The sequence below is a fragment of the Homo sapiens genome, chromosome 2 (genome assembly GCF_000001405.40).
Source record: "Homo sapiens chromosome 2, GRCh38.p14 Primary Assembly".
Classification (NCBI taxonomy): Eukaryota; Metazoa; Chordata; class Mammalia; order Primates; family Hominidae; genus Homo; species Homo sapiens.
The window spans coordinates 95,968,078-95,986,627 of record NC_000002.12 but is presented as its reverse complement, the minus strand read 5'-3'; the positions used below and the strand labels follow the sequence as shown (position 1 = coordinate 95,986,627).

The following is an 18,550-nucleotide window of genomic DNA, read 5'->3' as shown; positions in this document are numbered from 1 at the left end:
ATGCCTTAACTGTCTAAGATTTTACTTTAAATTTTGGAACTTTTAAAGAAGCATTATAAGGAACAGCTATTTTTCATGCACTTATGGTAAATAATTATACAAACATGAATTACAATAAATTTGGAATTCATGACAACTGAATTTGGGAAAGGTAATAGTTAAGTGTTTTTCCACTAAATTACTCTTTTTCTAATCAGTGTGAAGTGACACAGGAAAGTAAAATTGGCCCTTATAAATAGGCTTTATTTTAAATTTCAAAGAAAATTAAAGAATTTCACAATAAATGTACATCTTGTTGCTGTTGACAAGTATTGTATGTGAAGGTGATTTCATCTGAAAGTGATTCCTCTGTGGAAAGGCTTAAGAGGGAAAAATGAAGAAAAGGAGAGCAATCAGAAATGCACAAGCTAATTTGGAAATTAGGTAATGAGGGAAAATACTGTGGAGAGTGTTTTTGTGTGTTTTGTTGTTTGTTTTCAATTTATATGTTTAGACAAGGATCGCTTCAGTTTTGGGGATGATTATTCTTACTTTGGGAAAGAGTTTGTGAGTTGTGAAATTGCCCAGGGATCAATTTTGGTAGGACTCTGAGGAAACCAGGTTGGCAGTGAATAGTGGTGATGAAGCGGCACACAGTTCAGCAGAGAGAAGAACACATAATTAATGGACATTATTCAATTCTGGCAGAAACAGCCACTCAGATAAGCATCTAAACTCTACTCTCAAGTCCAGAATGTCTTGATGGGCAGGTGGGAGATACGGAGCTTATAAATAGTAAAATCAAGTTGGATTTTGAGCTTACTAGTCTCTTCCCTACCCCTACCCAGGAAAAGTAAATGAAGTTTTCAGTGAATGGCTCTATCTTTTGCTCTTTCCTCTTTTCAGCCAAATCCCAAACGATAAAGGGAATTTGCCATGTGAGTGAGAGATGAGACTGAAGTGATTATCAACTGTGCTGGTTCGCAGTTAGAATTGTGCATGGCAGTAACCTGGGGAAATTAAAAGCAAATCTCTAAGTCTAGGATATCCCCTGAAGATTTTAATATAGTAAATCTAATATTTACTATTAAATATTACTGGACATGTATGTTTTAAAATATTTCCTTGAAGCTGGGCATGGTGGTGCCTCTAGCCAGAGCAACAGATTAAGACACTGCCTCTAACAGCAACAACACAACAACAACAATAAAACATTTCTTGAGACACTGATACGCTGCTGGTTAAGAACCACTGAATAGATAAGTGTAATATAAATTCCCATATCTCAAACACACAAAAAATCTCTAGAAGACCTGGAGATAGGTGCTGCTTCCTTTAAATTTCTCCTTTCCAATAATATTGGCCTGACTTTTACCTGTCTCTACCTCTGTGGTTGGGAAGTGAAAAGGACTATTATTTGCAGTATCTATCAGCATGAGAATAACACCTTTTCTTTGCCACCATCACTTATTCACTGCCATTCATAGGGTCATTAGAAATTTGCTATTGTGGACTCTTTTAATAAGTAGAGACTGACTCTTTCAGGACTCTGAGTCTCTTTGTTATCATTCTGGTGATTAGGTCAATACATCATTATTAAAAGCGGGGTTCTCTCAATTACAATAGTAAAAAATTCTAAACCTTTTTTTAAAGCTGAAGCTCTATTATGGACTGCCTCAGTATGTCAGTTAAGTACCTAGAAATGTGGCATAATCAGGATAGCAGTTTTAAACACTGAAAACCATGAAGTTAGTAAGAATACAGAGAATACATATAGGTCATTATTAGAGCTTTAATTGATAAGCCATTGTATTTTTATTTCTGATTTATATTTTACCTAAAATAAAAAAAATGAGGTTACAATATAGAAACTAGAATTATAAGTTAATATTATTTTAATAATTTAGTTGCAGCAGTCCTATGAACTAATTATCCATTTGGTGAACAATCTGGGAAAATTAAACATAAATTATAAATGAATGAATGTTGTAAAAGTGCTCAAAGTGGGTATTATGACTCTTAGTAACAATTTTTATTGCATTCTTGGGCCTATTTTGGAAAAAAAAATCTGAAACTAAAGAAAGGAAGTATTTTACATGAAAATACTTGCGTTACATACAATCGCTTGGAGACATATCCACAGCAAATATAAAAATACAAGGTCTATAGTCCAAATGTGTCCCATAGATGTGTTTAGTTTGCCTCTACAAATTGTCTCAACATGGAAAGTTTAGGAGACTCGTGCACAGATCTGGATTCCAGGCTTCTCTTCAAGAATCCAATCTGGTGTCCCTTGAGCCTATCTCAGGTTTTGGATGCTGTGCAGAGGTTGCCCCTTTCTATGAGGCATGTGGTCTCCATTTTGCTACTGTGCCTACCTAGGTACTTCACTTCCTCAGGTCATCTCCCTTGCCTCTGTAGGGATGACTTTACAAGCCCTGTTTTATAATATATTTTAGTAAATATTTCAAGGTTTTCAAGACATTTTATATTTATTTAAATGTAGAGTCTATATTTTATATAAATCCTTTGGTAATCGGGTTGAACTTTTGAATTTAGATGGTGGTGTTTTATAAACTATTTATCTTTATACATACCATAAATAATCATCTTCCCATTAGAATGCATGTAAGCTTTTTAAGGTGAATCACGGTATAGTTGCATAGGTTATGCATATTGCAGACAACATTATATTTTTCTCTTCAGCATTGCCTCCTAAAAATGCAAGTAATTGGCCGAGCGCAGTGGCTCACGCCTGTAATCCTAGCACTTTGGGAGGCAGAGGCAGGTAGATCACGAGGTCAGAAGATTGAGACCATCCTGGCTAACACGGTGAAACCCCCTCTCTACTACAAATACAAAAAATTAGCTGGGTGTGGTGGCACACGCCTGTAGTCCCAGCTACTCGGGAGGCTGAGGCAGGAGAATTTCTCGTGCTTGAATCCGGGAGGCGGAGGTTGCAGTGAGCCGAGATGGCACCACTGCACTCCAGCCTGGGCGACAGAGCGAGACTCCATCTCAAATAAATAAATAAATAAATAAATAAATAAATAAATAAATAAATGATGCAAATAATTTAGTGGCTTTCACTATGCTATAAATAATACATATAAGTCATTATTAGAGCTTTAATTGATAAGCCATTGTGTTTTTATTTCTGATTGATATTTTACCTAAAATAAAAAAAGTTAGGTAAGAATTAATTGGAAACTAGAATATAAATAAATTTTTAAAGGAGTTATGTACCAGGGTCCTAAGATTATAATTACATAAATATTTGCATCAGGGTCCTAAGATTGTAATTGAGAATAACATTTCATACAGAGCTTTCTGACAGCTAAGATAAAAATATTACTAGAGAAAACCCATGGACTATTTAATAATAAGCAGTGAAAGTTTACTCGAAGCCTATCTCTATTAATTCAGAGCCCGGCTCTCCGAATTAAAGAGAGAGAGGCTTCAAATGAACTGTCAATCGTGTCAGAATCTCAGGTGACAATGTCAGGTGCTCAGGTGCTCAGGAGCTCCTGACATTGTCACCTGAGATTCTCACACCATCGATAGAAGAGAATGAGGCAAGTGTGTGTCACCCAGAGGAAACCTCCACCTTTACTGGTAAGCTCTCACAACTGTATCCCTGAAACTCATTTCTCAAATGTTAACATTCTCCAAAATAAGTATTTACAAATAGGGATTAGGTGAAGTTCAAAAGATTTCTCAAATACTAGACACATAATGCACAGTTTTGTAACATTTTTCAAACATGGGTGATCATGGAGTCTCTCTTTTGGGGTATAATGTTCAAATTCTGGTAAAGTAAATATCCTTTGGAATATATTAATAGTTTAAGAAACACCGCTCTATAGATAATAATTTAGATCATTAATAAAAATACCTGAAACATTTATTACTGTGTCTTAGAGTTTGAGGACATAGAGAAAAAAATACAGCTGCTGCCCTCAAGAAGCTCTTGGTTCAGGTGGGAAACAATTAAATCCTTGAAACATGCCATGCTAAATGCTGGGACAGAAGCAAAGATTCTTGGAACTGGGAAATGTTTGAAGTGAGTTTTGGAGATGACCAGAGTTCTTGTGGTGAGGCAGAGGAGGTTGTTTCCAGGGGAAGGAGCAGAACATAGAAAAGCACCGAGGAGGGAAAAGAAAGGGACTACCTCTTACGACCTTTCAATTGTATATATTGAAGCTCACAGGATCTTACATAAGGTTTTCATTTCAGTTGATAAATATGTAATTTTGTGATTATAAATTGTTGCTGTTATTTTACAGGATGAATATCCGCCACTGTTCCTTGCTGTGAGTCAAAGAAAAGTGAAAATGGTGGAATTTTTATTAAAGAAAAAAGCAAATATAAATGCCGTTGATTATCTTGGCAGGTACAGACCTTAGTTCTTATTGTGTTGTTTTTAAACCTGAGTGTCATTTTAGAGTGGTAGCGGTCACTGAAGTCACAAATTTTACATTAATAAGAAGACTAACTTTTAATTATTGGGATATAGTGAGAAATATCAACACAGATCATCCCTTAGTTAGAAAAACAATTATTTGGACTGAGTAACATAAAGAACAGTGTATAGCAGGATTCATCTCTCTATATAGACATTATACACATAAAAGGCTTCTATATATAGAAAGCTCTGTATATTGATAGATGTTTGTTATTTATAGTATGATGTGGTGTTATTTACAATGTAATAATGTGATGCTTTTGATTGTATGATCTTACATTAGCTAAAGGGGTTTCATGTTAGTTTTTCATTTCTACTGTGTTTTGATGTTGCTTTTAATTGATATGGGGAGGGGGAGAAAAGATAGCTTTAAATGGATAAAACTTTACTTTAATGAAGACAAGCTTTAGGTTCACACAGGACTGGGTTTAATCCCTAGCTTTCCCACTTGCTAGATGTGTGACCTTGGTAACATTACTTATCACCAAGTATGTTTTCTTCTGTGAAAAGGAGGGTAATAATATATCCTTCAAGGGTGGTTGTGTGTAAGTAACATTTTATATATATATATATAATGTTAGAATGTCCAGCTAACAGAGAAAGGTGCTGATGTTTTGGAAACAATGGCTGAGCATATAAGTATGTGCATATATTACATATACACACATATGTATGTAAGAATATAATGTAAGTAACATCATATATCATATAATATATACAATATATATTTTATAGATAATATATAATATACTATATATTATATATTTTATAGATAATATATAATATAGAATGTATATTATATATTTTATAGATTATATATAATATACAATATATATTTTATATATATGTGGTGTTACTTATACACAACCACCCTTGAAGGATATATTATTATCCTCCATATACATATATTTATATATCATGTTTAATTAAATGCCTAGCACATGCTTATGAGCATCATTAACTGAAGCTACGACTACTACTATTAGCATTCCTATTAATATTATTGTTTTAAGCCTGCAGATAGCTCTTATCTGACCCTTCAGCTGATTTTGCATTATAATGTATAGTATCAGACTAGGGAAGAAATGAATAATTTTTCACTTAAATTTGCCTACTGTAGATAGGTGGCCTGAGCATAGTTTCTTGCCCATCAAAGGACTTTAAGTTAGCAACTTTATGTCATACCACAGTGGGACAAGAGGCTTCCTTTTTGTTCCTTGCTTTTAACCTTTGTGGTAACTTGCAAAGATATACCCTTGAGCACCTAAGATGCTTGTTTCTTAGTACATGTAATTGGGTTAATTCTACATGGACAGGCAACATATTAAGTTGATAAAGTATATAAACTAAGCTTTTAAAATGTCATTAAAGTTTTTAATTACCTCTCTGTTATTTTAGATCAGCCCTCATACATGCTGTTACTCTTGGAGAAAAAGATATAGTCATTCTTCTTCTGCAGCACAATATTGATGTGTTTTCTCGAGATGTGTATGGAAAGCTTGCAGAAGATTATGCCAGCGAGGCTAAGAACAGAGTGTAAGTCTTTACATAAAAAGGCTAATGAACACTAAATTGAAGTTTAAAATAATTGTAGCAATTGCATCTTATATATCAGGTGAGATTGCATAGTTTGATTCAAGTAGTTTTCAAGTGACAAATTTTCAAGTTTTTAAGTTTTCGAGAGTTGTGCAACTTCATCAGCCAGAAATCAAGAAAAAGGCTAGGTAAGTAGCAGTAGGTGCAAGATTCTTGATATTGAAACTTTCAGGACTTTTCTCCTTAGGGATTCCAATGTTGTACATTTTATTTCCAGTATAACCCCTATGCATAGGATAAAGTAGTTTCACATCTTTGATTTTTCTAATTAGTTATTTGGGTCTCAAAATGTCCAGTTTATCAAAAAACCTTGTGCTGTGCACTGGGGACCATCTACTATAGCCTGATCATGGAATTTTTCAAGAACCTAAGGGGTTCCCTAAGTCCAAGGAAGACAATCAGTGTCTACAAGTCAGAAGGAGAAGGGGAAAGGACATTCTAATCATTGCTTTGTTTTCATTGATTCTGTTGTTGCTTTCTTACAATTGAAAGTACTCTTGCAGTCTGGTAGTGATTAACCTTTGCCACCAGGATGCCCTTTCTGTTTGACATCCCTCAATCTTCATGTTGATCCATAAAAAGGCTTCAAAGTTACAACTGTTTTTTTTAGTTCAGTTGCACATACTTATATGCTCAGCCATTGTTTCCAAAACAGCAGAACCTTGCTCTGTTACCTGGATATTCTAACTTTATCAACATACATACGGAGCAAATTGACACTTTCACCCACACTCAAAACCTGATGTAAAGCCCACATTTTAACCTGGGCTTCTAGACCTTCATGGTGAGTTATTTTTTGTGTCCCTTTTTTTTCTCTTTAAAGCAAATATTAGTTGGGATAGTTCTAAACTGTCACAGATATTCAAATAATGTTGTAGAAAGAGATCACAGTTTTTTTCTTTATTGCTACCAGATCTGTACCCTGAGACTTTTTATATAAACAGTGTAAAAGCTTTTCTCAGGTAGTGGAAGCTTCCATGCCATCCTTCCTTAGAGTAGTAGGCATTCAACTTGTGGTTGGCCCCTCAAGTGATCTGTTTTCTATAATAATGAAGATCTCTCAAGCTGCTTGCATCACCATCTCAAGTTTATAAAATATTTTCGGATTCTACTTCACAGGAAGCCATTCATTGGAATTATCTGAGTCTCAAGTTGGTTAGTTAGATTTAACAGAGCTAACCCTCATCCATGACTTATCAGCAGTTATATGTAAAAGTTAGGCTTTGTGCTTGCTTTGGCAGCACAAATACTAAAATTGGAACAATATGGAGAAAATTAGCATGGTGAAGCATTTCATATTTTGCAGTCACGGGAAGGTCATTTGACTGTTTGCTGGCTAGCTAAGTCATAGTTTGAATCAAAACAAAATGGGTGGCCTTATATTAGAATTGTGATTTTTCACTACAAAAACATTTGTGTAAGGTGATCTATAAACTGAGAATGGAGATAAGTAACACATGGGGTGTTGTGTAAATATTTTATTAGTATGTATCTTGGAAATGAGAAAATGTCAACTTGCATCTACTTCATGGAACTTAAAAAAAATGAAAGTAGGGTTTTGTCTTCCATGTCAGTTGGAGATAACATCACTGATGGAGATGAACCATCATTCTAGCAAACATCTGCTCATTCAGTTAGAGTCTGTAGAGAAGTAGTAGTTGTAGCCCAAGCCAGATCTTGACATCTGTTAGTTTTCTGCCCTTGGAATTGATGAGCTCAATAATAGTTAACAATCGTGTTACCTATTTTAATGAAATAATGTATTCATAAATTAATTTATTTATGAATTAAGAAATAGTTGAGATAACCTGAATTATAAGCCACAAATAATAGAACAATAAGCAAAATTAGGACTTAACATTTTTCTTAAACTGAAGCATTTGAATATTAGAACCTATGAAAAAATACACATTGGGTTTGATTTGGGATTTCAAAATAGTTTCAGCGATAAAGTTCAAGAACAAGCTCCACTGCTTTACTATTTCTCTGTGAATGTTAAAAATGCTACTTCATTAAACCTATTTAACAACCTAGTGAAAGGAGATAGTAAAATCTAGAAGAAGACATTGTGCCTAAGAGAAGCAACTTGTTTAAGAGCAAATACCTGTTGGCTATAGAGCCAGGACCTTCCAGTAAGAGCCAGGAAGGTGACTTTCCATTGTGTCAAGCTGATGTGAGATAGTTTGCTGAGCTATACTGCCTTCACTTCATGAGTACTTCACCTGTTATTATTATTTAATTAGAAAGGTACTAAGAAGTTTGTAGAGCTTACAGAAGAGAAGTGTATAGGATAATTAACATCCTGATATTGTTCAAGATACTCTAATAATTTAGTATATTTGGTAAATGTTTTTGATAATAGTATTAAAATATTAATTTCATTTATTTTTATGCATAGCATTTTTGAACTAATTTATGAATATGAAAGAAAGAAACATGAAGAGCTTTCTATAAATAGCAATCCAGGTAAGATTTCTGATAGTGAATTACTCTTGATGGTACTACCATAGATAAAAAAGAATAAAGATGTTTTGATTACAAAAAAGCAGTTTAAAAAAATCACTGTTTAAATTGCACACATTTAAAAAATACTTAGTAGTCTAGATTTTATAATTATTTAAAAAGTTAATTGTAGGTAATTTATAATCTCAGTATTGTATGAAAAAAATTATTATTTAATTATGGTTCCTAATATTCTAGATGATCTTTTTGTGTAAATAAGAAAACAAATTTTTAAGTTATTATGTTGTATTTTTTTATAGTCACATGATAATGAATTAGACTTTTTATATAATTAGAACTTCTATTTAATTTGTAAAATAAATTCTTTGCAATTACTAAATGAATCAATAATTACAGTTGGCCCTTGAACAACATGGGATTTAGTGCTGCCAATCCCCATGCTGTTGAAAATACATATTTGGTATGTTGTATATATTATATATTGTATTCTGAATACAAGAAAGTAAGCTAGAGAAAGGAAGCTTTTGCAGTAGTTGAAGCTTTAGTTTGCTTGTAGTTCGATGCTTGAACTACTATCAATCTAGTGTAAGGTGTTCACCCATCCATGGTAAAATAAAGTAAATTTACTCCATTTACTCATTTTAAAATGTTGGTCTTTTTCTTGCCCGTATGCCTTCTTTATTTGTTTTACTTAATTTTTTATTTATAAAAAAACAATAATAGTTGATAGGGAATTTTTTTCCTGTGAAAACCATCAGTGAAGAGGCCATGTTGATCTAGGAAATATAAACATATTTATTTGGTGGCAGTAGAAATATAAAGCAGAAGCAGAAAAGAGGTACAGTTAATATGATTTAGTGAACATTGAATGTAAAACATTAGTGGGGAGAGAGAAATCTTGGATCATTCATAGGTTTCCAGGTTGTGTACTGGCCTTTATACTGCACACAAGAAAGGAGTAGGACATGTTCACTGACTGGAGAAGTACAGCTGGTCAACAGGGAAGAATAACTTCCCTTCCCTCCAAATCTGAGGTTGGAGATGCAGACGTAGAATGATGTTATTATAATTATTAGGCAAAGTCATCGATCTCAATGAGCTGTCCATGATGCAGATGTAGAATGAGAAGCTATCCTGTGACAAAACCCTGGGAATGTGAACTTTCCCTCCACACCCCCAGGAAAAAAAGAGTTGGTGAAGGAGAATGAGCAGTGGCTAGAGAAAAGTAGGAGAGGAGTCAGAGGAAGTGATGTTGCAAAAATAAAAAAAGTGAGAATTTTAAGGAGGGAGTATGAATTCTAACAAGTAAGATTACTCAAAAGCCAATTAGATTTAACTTTTAAAAGCTCTTTGGCGGTACCCTTTTCAAAAGAACCATTTTTGAGGTGTAATGTGGGCTATTGATATGATTGGTATGTCTGTTGTCCAAATATGGAGGAACAAATCTACCAAGATCCTGCGTAACCCTTTTGTAACTGCAGAAGCTACGTGCACAGGGTCAGGGAAAATGGTCTTGACTTCTGAGTACATGTGCCCACGCTTTTACAGAATTGTCAAAACCTAAGGGTAATGTGTGAGAAAAACTGTGGTCTTCTTATCTGCTCCTTGTGGAAATACTTAGTTTGTACTGAAACCCCTGATAAGTTCTTCTGGATGCATTCTGAAACAAAAGTCTGGCAGCAGTAACTGGAACCACCTTGTCCAAAGCACATACATCCCGACTCTCTCCAACATGGAATCATAACACAGCCGCATTTCGAGAGTTTCAAGTTTCAATCAGAAGTAGTCTACAGACATGTGCATGTGTCTTTATAGCAGCATGATTTATAATCCTTTGGGTGTATACCCAGTAATGGGATGGCTGGGTCAAATGGTATTTCTAGTTCTAGATCCCTGAGGAATCGCCACACTGACTTCCACAATGGTTGAACTAGTTTACAGTCCCACCAACAGAGTAAAAGTGTTCCTATTTCTCCACATCCTGTCCAGCACCTGTTGTTTCCTGACTTTTTAATGATCGCCATTCTAACTGGTGTGAGATGGTATCTCATTGTGGTTTTGATTTGCATTTCTCTGATGGCCAGTGATGATGAGCATTTTTTCATGTGTTTTTTTGGCTGCATAAATGTCTTCTTTTGAGAAGTGTCTGTTCATATCCTTCGCCCACTTTTTGATGGGGTTGTTTGTTTTTTTCTTGTAAATTTGTTTGAGTTCATTGTAGATTCTGGATATTAGCCCTTTGTCAGATGAGTAAGTTGCAAAAATTTTCTCTCATTCTGTAGGTTGCCTGTTCACTCTGATGGTAGTTTCTTTTGATGGGCAGAAGCTCTTTCGTTTAATTAGATCCCATGTGTCATATTTGGCTTTTGTTGCCGTTGCTTTTGGTGTTTTAGACATGAAGTCCTTGCCCATGCCTGTGTCCTGAATGGTATTGCCTAGGTTTTCTTTTAGGGTTTTTATGGTTTTAGGTCTAACGTGTAAGTCTTTAATCCATCTTGAATTAATTTTTGTATAAGATGTAAGGAAGGGATCCAGTTTCAGCTTTCTACATATGGCTAGCCAGTTTTCCCAGCACCATTTATTAAATAGGGAATCCTTTCCCCATTGCTTGTTTTTCTCAGGTTTGTCAAAGATCGATAGTTGTAGACATGCAGCATTATTTCTGATGGCTCTGTTCTGTTCCATTGGTCTATATCTCTGTTTTGGTACCAGTACCATGCTGTTTTGGTTACTGTAGCCTTGTAGTATAGTTTGAAGTCAGGTAGTGTGATGCCTCCAGCTTTATTCTTTTGGCTTAGGATTGACTTGGTGATGTGGGCTCTTTTTTGGTTCCATATGAACTTTAAAGTAGTTTTTTCCAATTCTGTGAAGAAAGTCATTGGTAGGTTGCTGGGATGGCATTGAATCTATAAATTACCTTGGGCAGTATGGCCATTTTCACGATATTGATTCTTCCTACCCATGAGAATGGAATGTTCTTCCATTTGTTTGTATCCTCTTTTATTTCATTGAGCAGTGGTTTGTAGCTATTCACAATAGCAAAGACATGGAACCAACCCAAATGTCCAACACTGATAGACTGGATTAAGAAAATGTGGCACATATACACCATGGAATACTATGCAGCCATAAGAAATGATGAGTTTATGTCCTTTGTAGGGACATGGATAAAGCTGGAAACCATCATTCTAAGCAAACTATGGCAAGGACAAAAAACCAAACACCACATGTTCTCACTCATAGGTGGGAATTGAACAATGAGAACACATGGACACAGGAAGGGGAACATCACACACCAGGGACTGTTGTGGGGTGGGGGGAGGGGGGAGGGATAGCATTAGGAGATCTACCTAATGCTAAATGATGAGGTATTGGGTGCAGCACACCAACATGGCACATGTATACATATGTAACAAACCTTCACGTTGTGCACATGTACCCTAAAACTTAAAGTATAAAAAAAAAAGAAGTAGCCTACAGACCAGCAGTTTGGAGAAGCTGACGTCTTTTATATAACATCATGGAGAAAAATGTAAGATGATATGCTAAGTATACCAAGTCTCTGTGTTCTGGGACACTTTGTTTTAGTGCAATTCCCTTTTCATGACCTCTTGTAATATCTCTGCTTTTACTGTTTTCTTTTGAATTTCATCCCTAAAGAAAATATTATTAGAACACATTTCTAACACAGGTATTTTTGACAACTATATAGGATTTTCTTTTAAGAGAATTAGCTACCTATTCTAAAGTATATCTGGTATTCTATTAATCTTTAATGCTAAACTTCTTTATATCTTTAGCACAGTGACAGTGTAAGTGATGCTGCTCCTTTAAGATTTTAAGTTTCTTTTAAATTTTCAAACTTTAAATGTCTTTTAAATTTTCAAATTAAGTTAAGACACTTAAGGTGTCTTTTAAATTTTCAAACTTGACATAGTTTTAATGTAAAACACTTTTCTGGTATTATATTTCTTCAAATATTGGTAATCTGTTACTTAGCTGGAATATTTGGTCAGTTGGATTACCACACCTTTAACCATCTATATATAAGTTTCTTGATTTTTTTTTTTTTTTGAGATTGAGTCTTTTGCTGTTTCCCAGGCTAGAGCACAATAGTGTGATCATAGCTCACTGCAGCCTCAAACTTCTGGGTTCAGGTGGTCCTCCTACCTCAGCCTCCTAAGTCGCTGATACTGCTACAAGCATATGCCACCACACCAAGCTAACTTTTTTATTTTTTATTTTTTAGAGACAAGGGTCTCTCTCTCTTACCCAGGCCAGTCTCAAACTTTTGGCTTCAAGTGATCCTCCTGCCTTAGCCTCCCAAAGTGCTGGAATTATAGTTACGAGCCATCGTGCTGGTCTATAACTTCCTTTATTCCCCAAAATGAGTTTAAAGTCCTATTGGCCCTTAATAAGAAAAACCCACTGTTTGGGAGCAGAAGTGGATAACTCATCCTACATTTTAAATGCAGTTTTTGACTTTTCGACCTGTTCTATGAAGAACTGCCCTTAACAGATGATTTTTAGTTTTAATAGATATTTTTAGTTTTATAAGAACTTAAGAAAAAAGATTAGAAACAAATTAAATGAGCTCTATGATCGATAGTACAGTATTATAGCCAATGGCTACATATATTTCTATAATTATCACAATGACCTGAATGATGCAAATTATTTTATGTATGTTTTTATTAATAGATTTTTTTTTTTGAGACTGAGTCTCGCTCTGTTGCCCAGGCTGGAGTGCGGTGGCACAATCTTGGCTCACTGCAAACTCTGCCTCCTGGGTTCAAGCGCTTCTCCTGCCTCAGCCTCCCAAGTAGTTGGGACTACAGGCATGCACCACCACGCCCAGCTAATTTTTATATTTTTAGTAGAGACGGGGTTTCACCGTGTTAGCCAGGATGGTCTCCATCTCCTGACCTTGTGATCCGCCCGCCCCAGCCTCCCAAAGTGTTTGGATTACAGGTGTGAGCCACCGCCCCCAGCCTACTAATACATTTTAGAGACAGGGTCTCACTCTGTTTCCCAGGCTGGAGTGCAATGGTTGTTCACAGGCACAATCTCCACTGCAGCCTCAAACTTTTGATCTCAAGCAATCTTCCTGCCTCAGCCGTTGGAGTAGTTGGGACTACAGGTGTGTGTCATTGCACCTGGCCTGATCCCCAGTTATTATAAAAGAAACCTTGGTGAGTTGAAGACAATTGGCTGTGATCTTTTTGTTTCTCTTCTAGAAGCTTTCATACTATGGGATATATTTTTAATCATCCATATTCTCAAATTTTTATTCTGGTTAAAATAGGATTGCTGCTTGTTTTTCATTATTTTTTGGCATAATTATTTCTATTCCTTTATGGATTTATTCATGCGGAAATACAGGAATCTCAAAGGCAACTGTTAAGGAGAACAGATTAGGGAAAGGTGTTTTATAAACAGCCTTCTGATCGTAGTCAGAGGTCACATCACCTTAAAGAAAACTAATTTCATATAATGCCACTATGTCAGAGTTTCCCAAGACCACCTCTGTGTTTGGCGATTCACTTAGAAGGACTCAGCAAACAGTGCTACTCTGGGCTTTGATTTGTTACAGTGAAAGAATACATAGTAAAATTGGCTCAGGGCAAAGGGGCATGTGGCAAGTCTTGGGGAAGCCAGGCACAAGCTTCCGGGAGCCCTCTCCTGTGGAGTTACCAGGATGTGCTGAATTCCTGTAGCTTCGAATTTTGACATCACATGGGCAATATTGTCTACCAGTATGAGTCTGACTAGAGACTTACACAGTATCCCAGGTTCTTATGGAAACTAGTTACATAGGCATTCTGTCTCACACATATACAAAAATTCCACACTTCCAGAAGAAAAGCAGCTGTTCAGAGTCAACCACATTGTTTATGCAAACAGTTTAGGTATAGTGAGCTACTTTTCTCAGGAAATGGTGACAAACCTTTAAAATGCAAATTTCCAAACACCAGCAAAGGGCCAGTTTTGCATGTAGGCCTTTCTAAGAATGACAGTCTTATGACTGTTATATGAATTATTTTCTTCACAGCAGTTACAGCCCCAACTTAATTTTAGGTGTCTTAAAAATTCTATTTGATAGTGAATAACATGGTAATATAACATAGCATGGTGCTTATTTCATTTGCGTCAGTTGCAACTTAATATGAAATACTAAGTTTCTGTGCTGTTAGATTTTGGAATTTTGGTGAATATTTAACAGGTTTCTATACAGAAGTTACTATGGCAATATTAGGTAATTATAGTCTGTTCTTATTCGATTAACCTTTCAGTAAAATGGTTAGATAAAATAAGTAATGATTTCTCATTTAAAATTAAAATAAAAAAATTTGTTTCATTTTAATTATATAGATGGTTCAGTTTTGTTTTATATTTTGTTAAATTTCTGTTTATAATTATGAAATTAAAAAAATCAATCATTTATCAGTTATTTTCTTGCCTGTTAATACAGTTAAGTTATTTGCTTTATGTACTTTTATATACTATAATTCTGGAGAGAATATTCATATTGTGTTTCAAATTGAGTACATCTTGCTATAATATATGGTAATATAGCAATATATTAGTAATAGAAGATTCAGTGAAAATCTTTTTAAAAAATTAATAACTTTATTTTAAGAGCAGTTTTATATTCTCAGCAATATTGAAAAGAACCTAAAGAGATTTTTGATATACGCCATCCCCCCTCACATGCATAGCTCCCCCCATTATCAATATCTCCCACCTGAGTGGTACATTTGTTACAACTGAGAAGCTTACATTGTTGCATCATAATAATCACCCAAAGTCCATAGTTTATATTTATATTTAAATATACCTTCTATAAAGCTGGACAAATGTATAATAAATGTACCCGCCATTAGAATACTTTCACTGCCCTGAAATTTGTCTCTCTTTTTTTATTCCTCCCTCACAACTAACCCCTGTCAACTACTAATATTTTTGCTGTCCCCATAGTTTTGATATGTCCAGCATAGTCATATATTAAGGATAACATAGTGGATATCTTTTTCTATATTACAGAACATAATTTCCAAGACAGTTGAATGTATTCAATTAAGCCATCCATTGTGCTTTTTTGCTTTTAGTTTATTAATGTAGGATTTAATGGCATATGCTTTACATGTTGAAAAAGCATAATTTATATAGACATTTGCCACATAATGGGGAGGGTTGAGGAAAATGACTTCATGCTGTGTACTACACAGCACTAACTGGTTCATCCTTCTCTGTGAGATGGGTCCAGATAGACTAGCAGTGGAAAGGGACAATCTCAAGAGGTTGTACTTTATAAAACTGGAGTCAGAAAGTCTTTCCTATTTACCTTGCAGTTGGAAATAAGACCAGCTAGTGAATACTGTAGGCATACAAATATGTTTCTTATTCACCTTCTTTCTTTGAGGGATCACTTTGAAAACAGTCTATATTATTATAACATGACTCACTTATAACTAGGTTCTCCATCATGAAAAATGCCAAGAGAGTCATACTATTTTTGTTTACATAAAGTGACAAAGATTTGTTGTTGTTGTTGTTGTTTTTCCCACTAGGTAGGGAGACAACTGTTGGCACATCTTGGTAGCTCCAGTGAGTTTATGGTTCCTTTATATATATTTTATATATTAGAAAGTACTCCCTGGCAACTTGCCATACCATTCCCAGTATTTCTTTATAAGCTTCTCTCTGACAAGGAAACAAGACTCAGATTGGATAAGCTTTTAAGGGAGTGATATTTTCTCTGTGTGTGTTTTTTTGAAGGAGCTAAAAATGAAAGCTGAATTTAAGGATTGTTTGTGCCCTACATAGGGTGAATGAATAGCTAGAACTAAGCAAACTACCAGAATCTTCCCTAGGAGAGGATTAGTGAGAGTAAGGACACTGATCTCTCTTAGGCTCTTCTGCATTGGCAGCTGAAAAGTCTTTGCAGGGATCCTTGACCCTGCTCTGTATCCTGTGTTTTGCCATAGAACAGAGTACAGTTTTCATAGATCTAGATTTTTTGAATTAGAGTGCTTTATCCTAAATAGTTTAAACTGAAGAGGTGGAGAAACTGTTGTGTTTCAACAAAATAAGTACAGTAATTTCCTCTTACACATGGGGGATAGATTTCAAGACCCTTAGTGAATGCCTGAAAACATGAATAGTGCTGAACTCTATGTGTACAATAATTTATAAAAATATATATATATCTATAATAAAATTTAATGCATAAATTAGGCACAATAAGAGATTAATAATATCTAATGGTAAAGTGGATCAATTGTAACAATATACTGTAATAAAAGTTATGTGAATGTGAGCTCACAAAATATCATGTACTATAGTCACCCTACTTTCTGCACTGATGTGAGATGATAAAATGGCTATGTGATAAGTGAGGCAAATGCAGTAGGCATTGCCATGTAGTCTTAGGCTACTATTGACCTTCTATTTGACTATATGTCAGAAAGAAGATCATCTGCTTCACGTGATCTTGGATCCGTGAACCATGACGATATTGTTGGTTGGATGTTAGGTACAGATTATGTCAATGACTAGTGAGTAGATATCATATATAATGTGTATGCACTTGACAAAGGGACGATTCACATCTTGGGCAGACTGGGATGTAATGGCTCAAATTTTGTCATACTACTCAGAATCTTAGGCAATTTAAACATTATGATGTGTATACATCTGGAATTTTATTTATGGACCATGGTTGACCATGGGTAACTGAATCTGCAGTCAGTAAAACCACCAATGTCATATTATGAAATATATATTTGGTCTTCAACCCCATTTTCTGTCATACAACTCCTAAAATCCTCAGAATTTCCAACATGATATCATTTGTATGCTAATGATTGACTTATGGCAGGCAGCCTCCAGATGGCTTCAGGGTGGGGCTCATCATCAGAGTGATCAGGGTGTGATTAGAGGGTTGGGACTTCCAGCCCCACCCCTCACCTCCTGGGATGTGAGAGGGGCTGAATGTTCAATTAATCAGTCATGCCTATGTAATGAAGCTTTCATAAAATCCCAAAAGGATTGGATTTGGAGAGCATCCAGGTAGCTGTATTCAGCTGCCTGGATCCTCTCCAATACATGAAGGCATATGGAGAATACATGGATGTTCCCAGAGGGTGAGTGCCCTGGGAGGACATGGAAGCATGTTACTTTCCCCCCATATCTTGCACTATGCATCTCTTTATCTGTATCCTTTAATATTCTTTATAAGAAACTGGTAAATATGTTTCCATGAGTTCTCTGAGCCACTCTAGTAAATTAATCAAACCAAAGAGGGGGTCCTGGGAAACCCAACTTGAAGTCCAACTGGAAGTTGATTAGAAGTTCTGGAGGCCCAGACTTGTAACTGCTGTGGGGGAATAGCCTTGTGGTACTAAGCCCTCAACCTGTGGGATCTGACACAATCCCCAAGTAGATAGTGCCAGAATTACAGGGCACCCATAGGAATTGATTGTTTGCTTGTTGCTGGGGAAAAATACATATTTGGTCACAGAAATCTTCTGTGTTGATGATTGTTGTTGCGGTGTGAGAGAAGAGGAACATCATGTTGAATATGTGTTTTCTACACATACAGCAGATAAGGGGGACTGCTGTTCTAGCTGCACCTGGTTCATTTGTCCAGAAATCATGTTCTTTGATAATGCCTGCTCATTATATTGATTCTACTAATGATGCCATTTTCTGTCAGTGTGATAGGATTCTGTTAGAATTATGACTATTTTATACTGCAATTCACATATAAGGTAACAAATTTTGATAATATATTCTTCTTTGCATTTGATAAGTATATGCTAAGCACATAAGAAAGGAAATAAGAGTTCTTAATTCATTAGTTGCCTACAAATAGTATAAATAATAATTTTAGTATAGCCTCCAAGTATGTTTCTAAAGAACTGCTTTGTAACAAATCATGAGAGTCTCTGTAATAAAGCATCAAAGTCTTATACTTTTTTTCCTACAAGGTCTAAGGCATGTACAAAAGTTCATGATTTTTTTTTCTTTTGAGATGAAGTCTCA

At 35.3% G+C, this 18,550-nt stretch overlaps 1 protein-coding gene across 2 annotated transcripts in view; it reads left to right on the top strand.

Moving 5' to 3' along the window:
• Positions 1 to 18,550, top strand: part of ANKRD36C (ankyrin repeat domain 36C) — a 142,893-nt gene that overhangs the window by 5,197 nt on the left and 119,146 nt on the right. For both annotated transcript variants that reach the window (NM_001310154.3, NM_001393982.1), the window contains exons 4-6: positions 4,266 to 4,372; positions 5,843 to 5,980; positions 8,439 to 8,506. In NM_001310154.3, the coding sequence (NP_001297083.1) occupies positions 4,266 to 4,372; positions 5,843 to 5,980; positions 8,439 to 8,506 (313 nt within the window). The remainder of the gene's footprint in view (positions 1 to 4,265; positions 4,373 to 5,842; positions 5,981 to 8,438; positions 8,507 to 18,550) is intronic.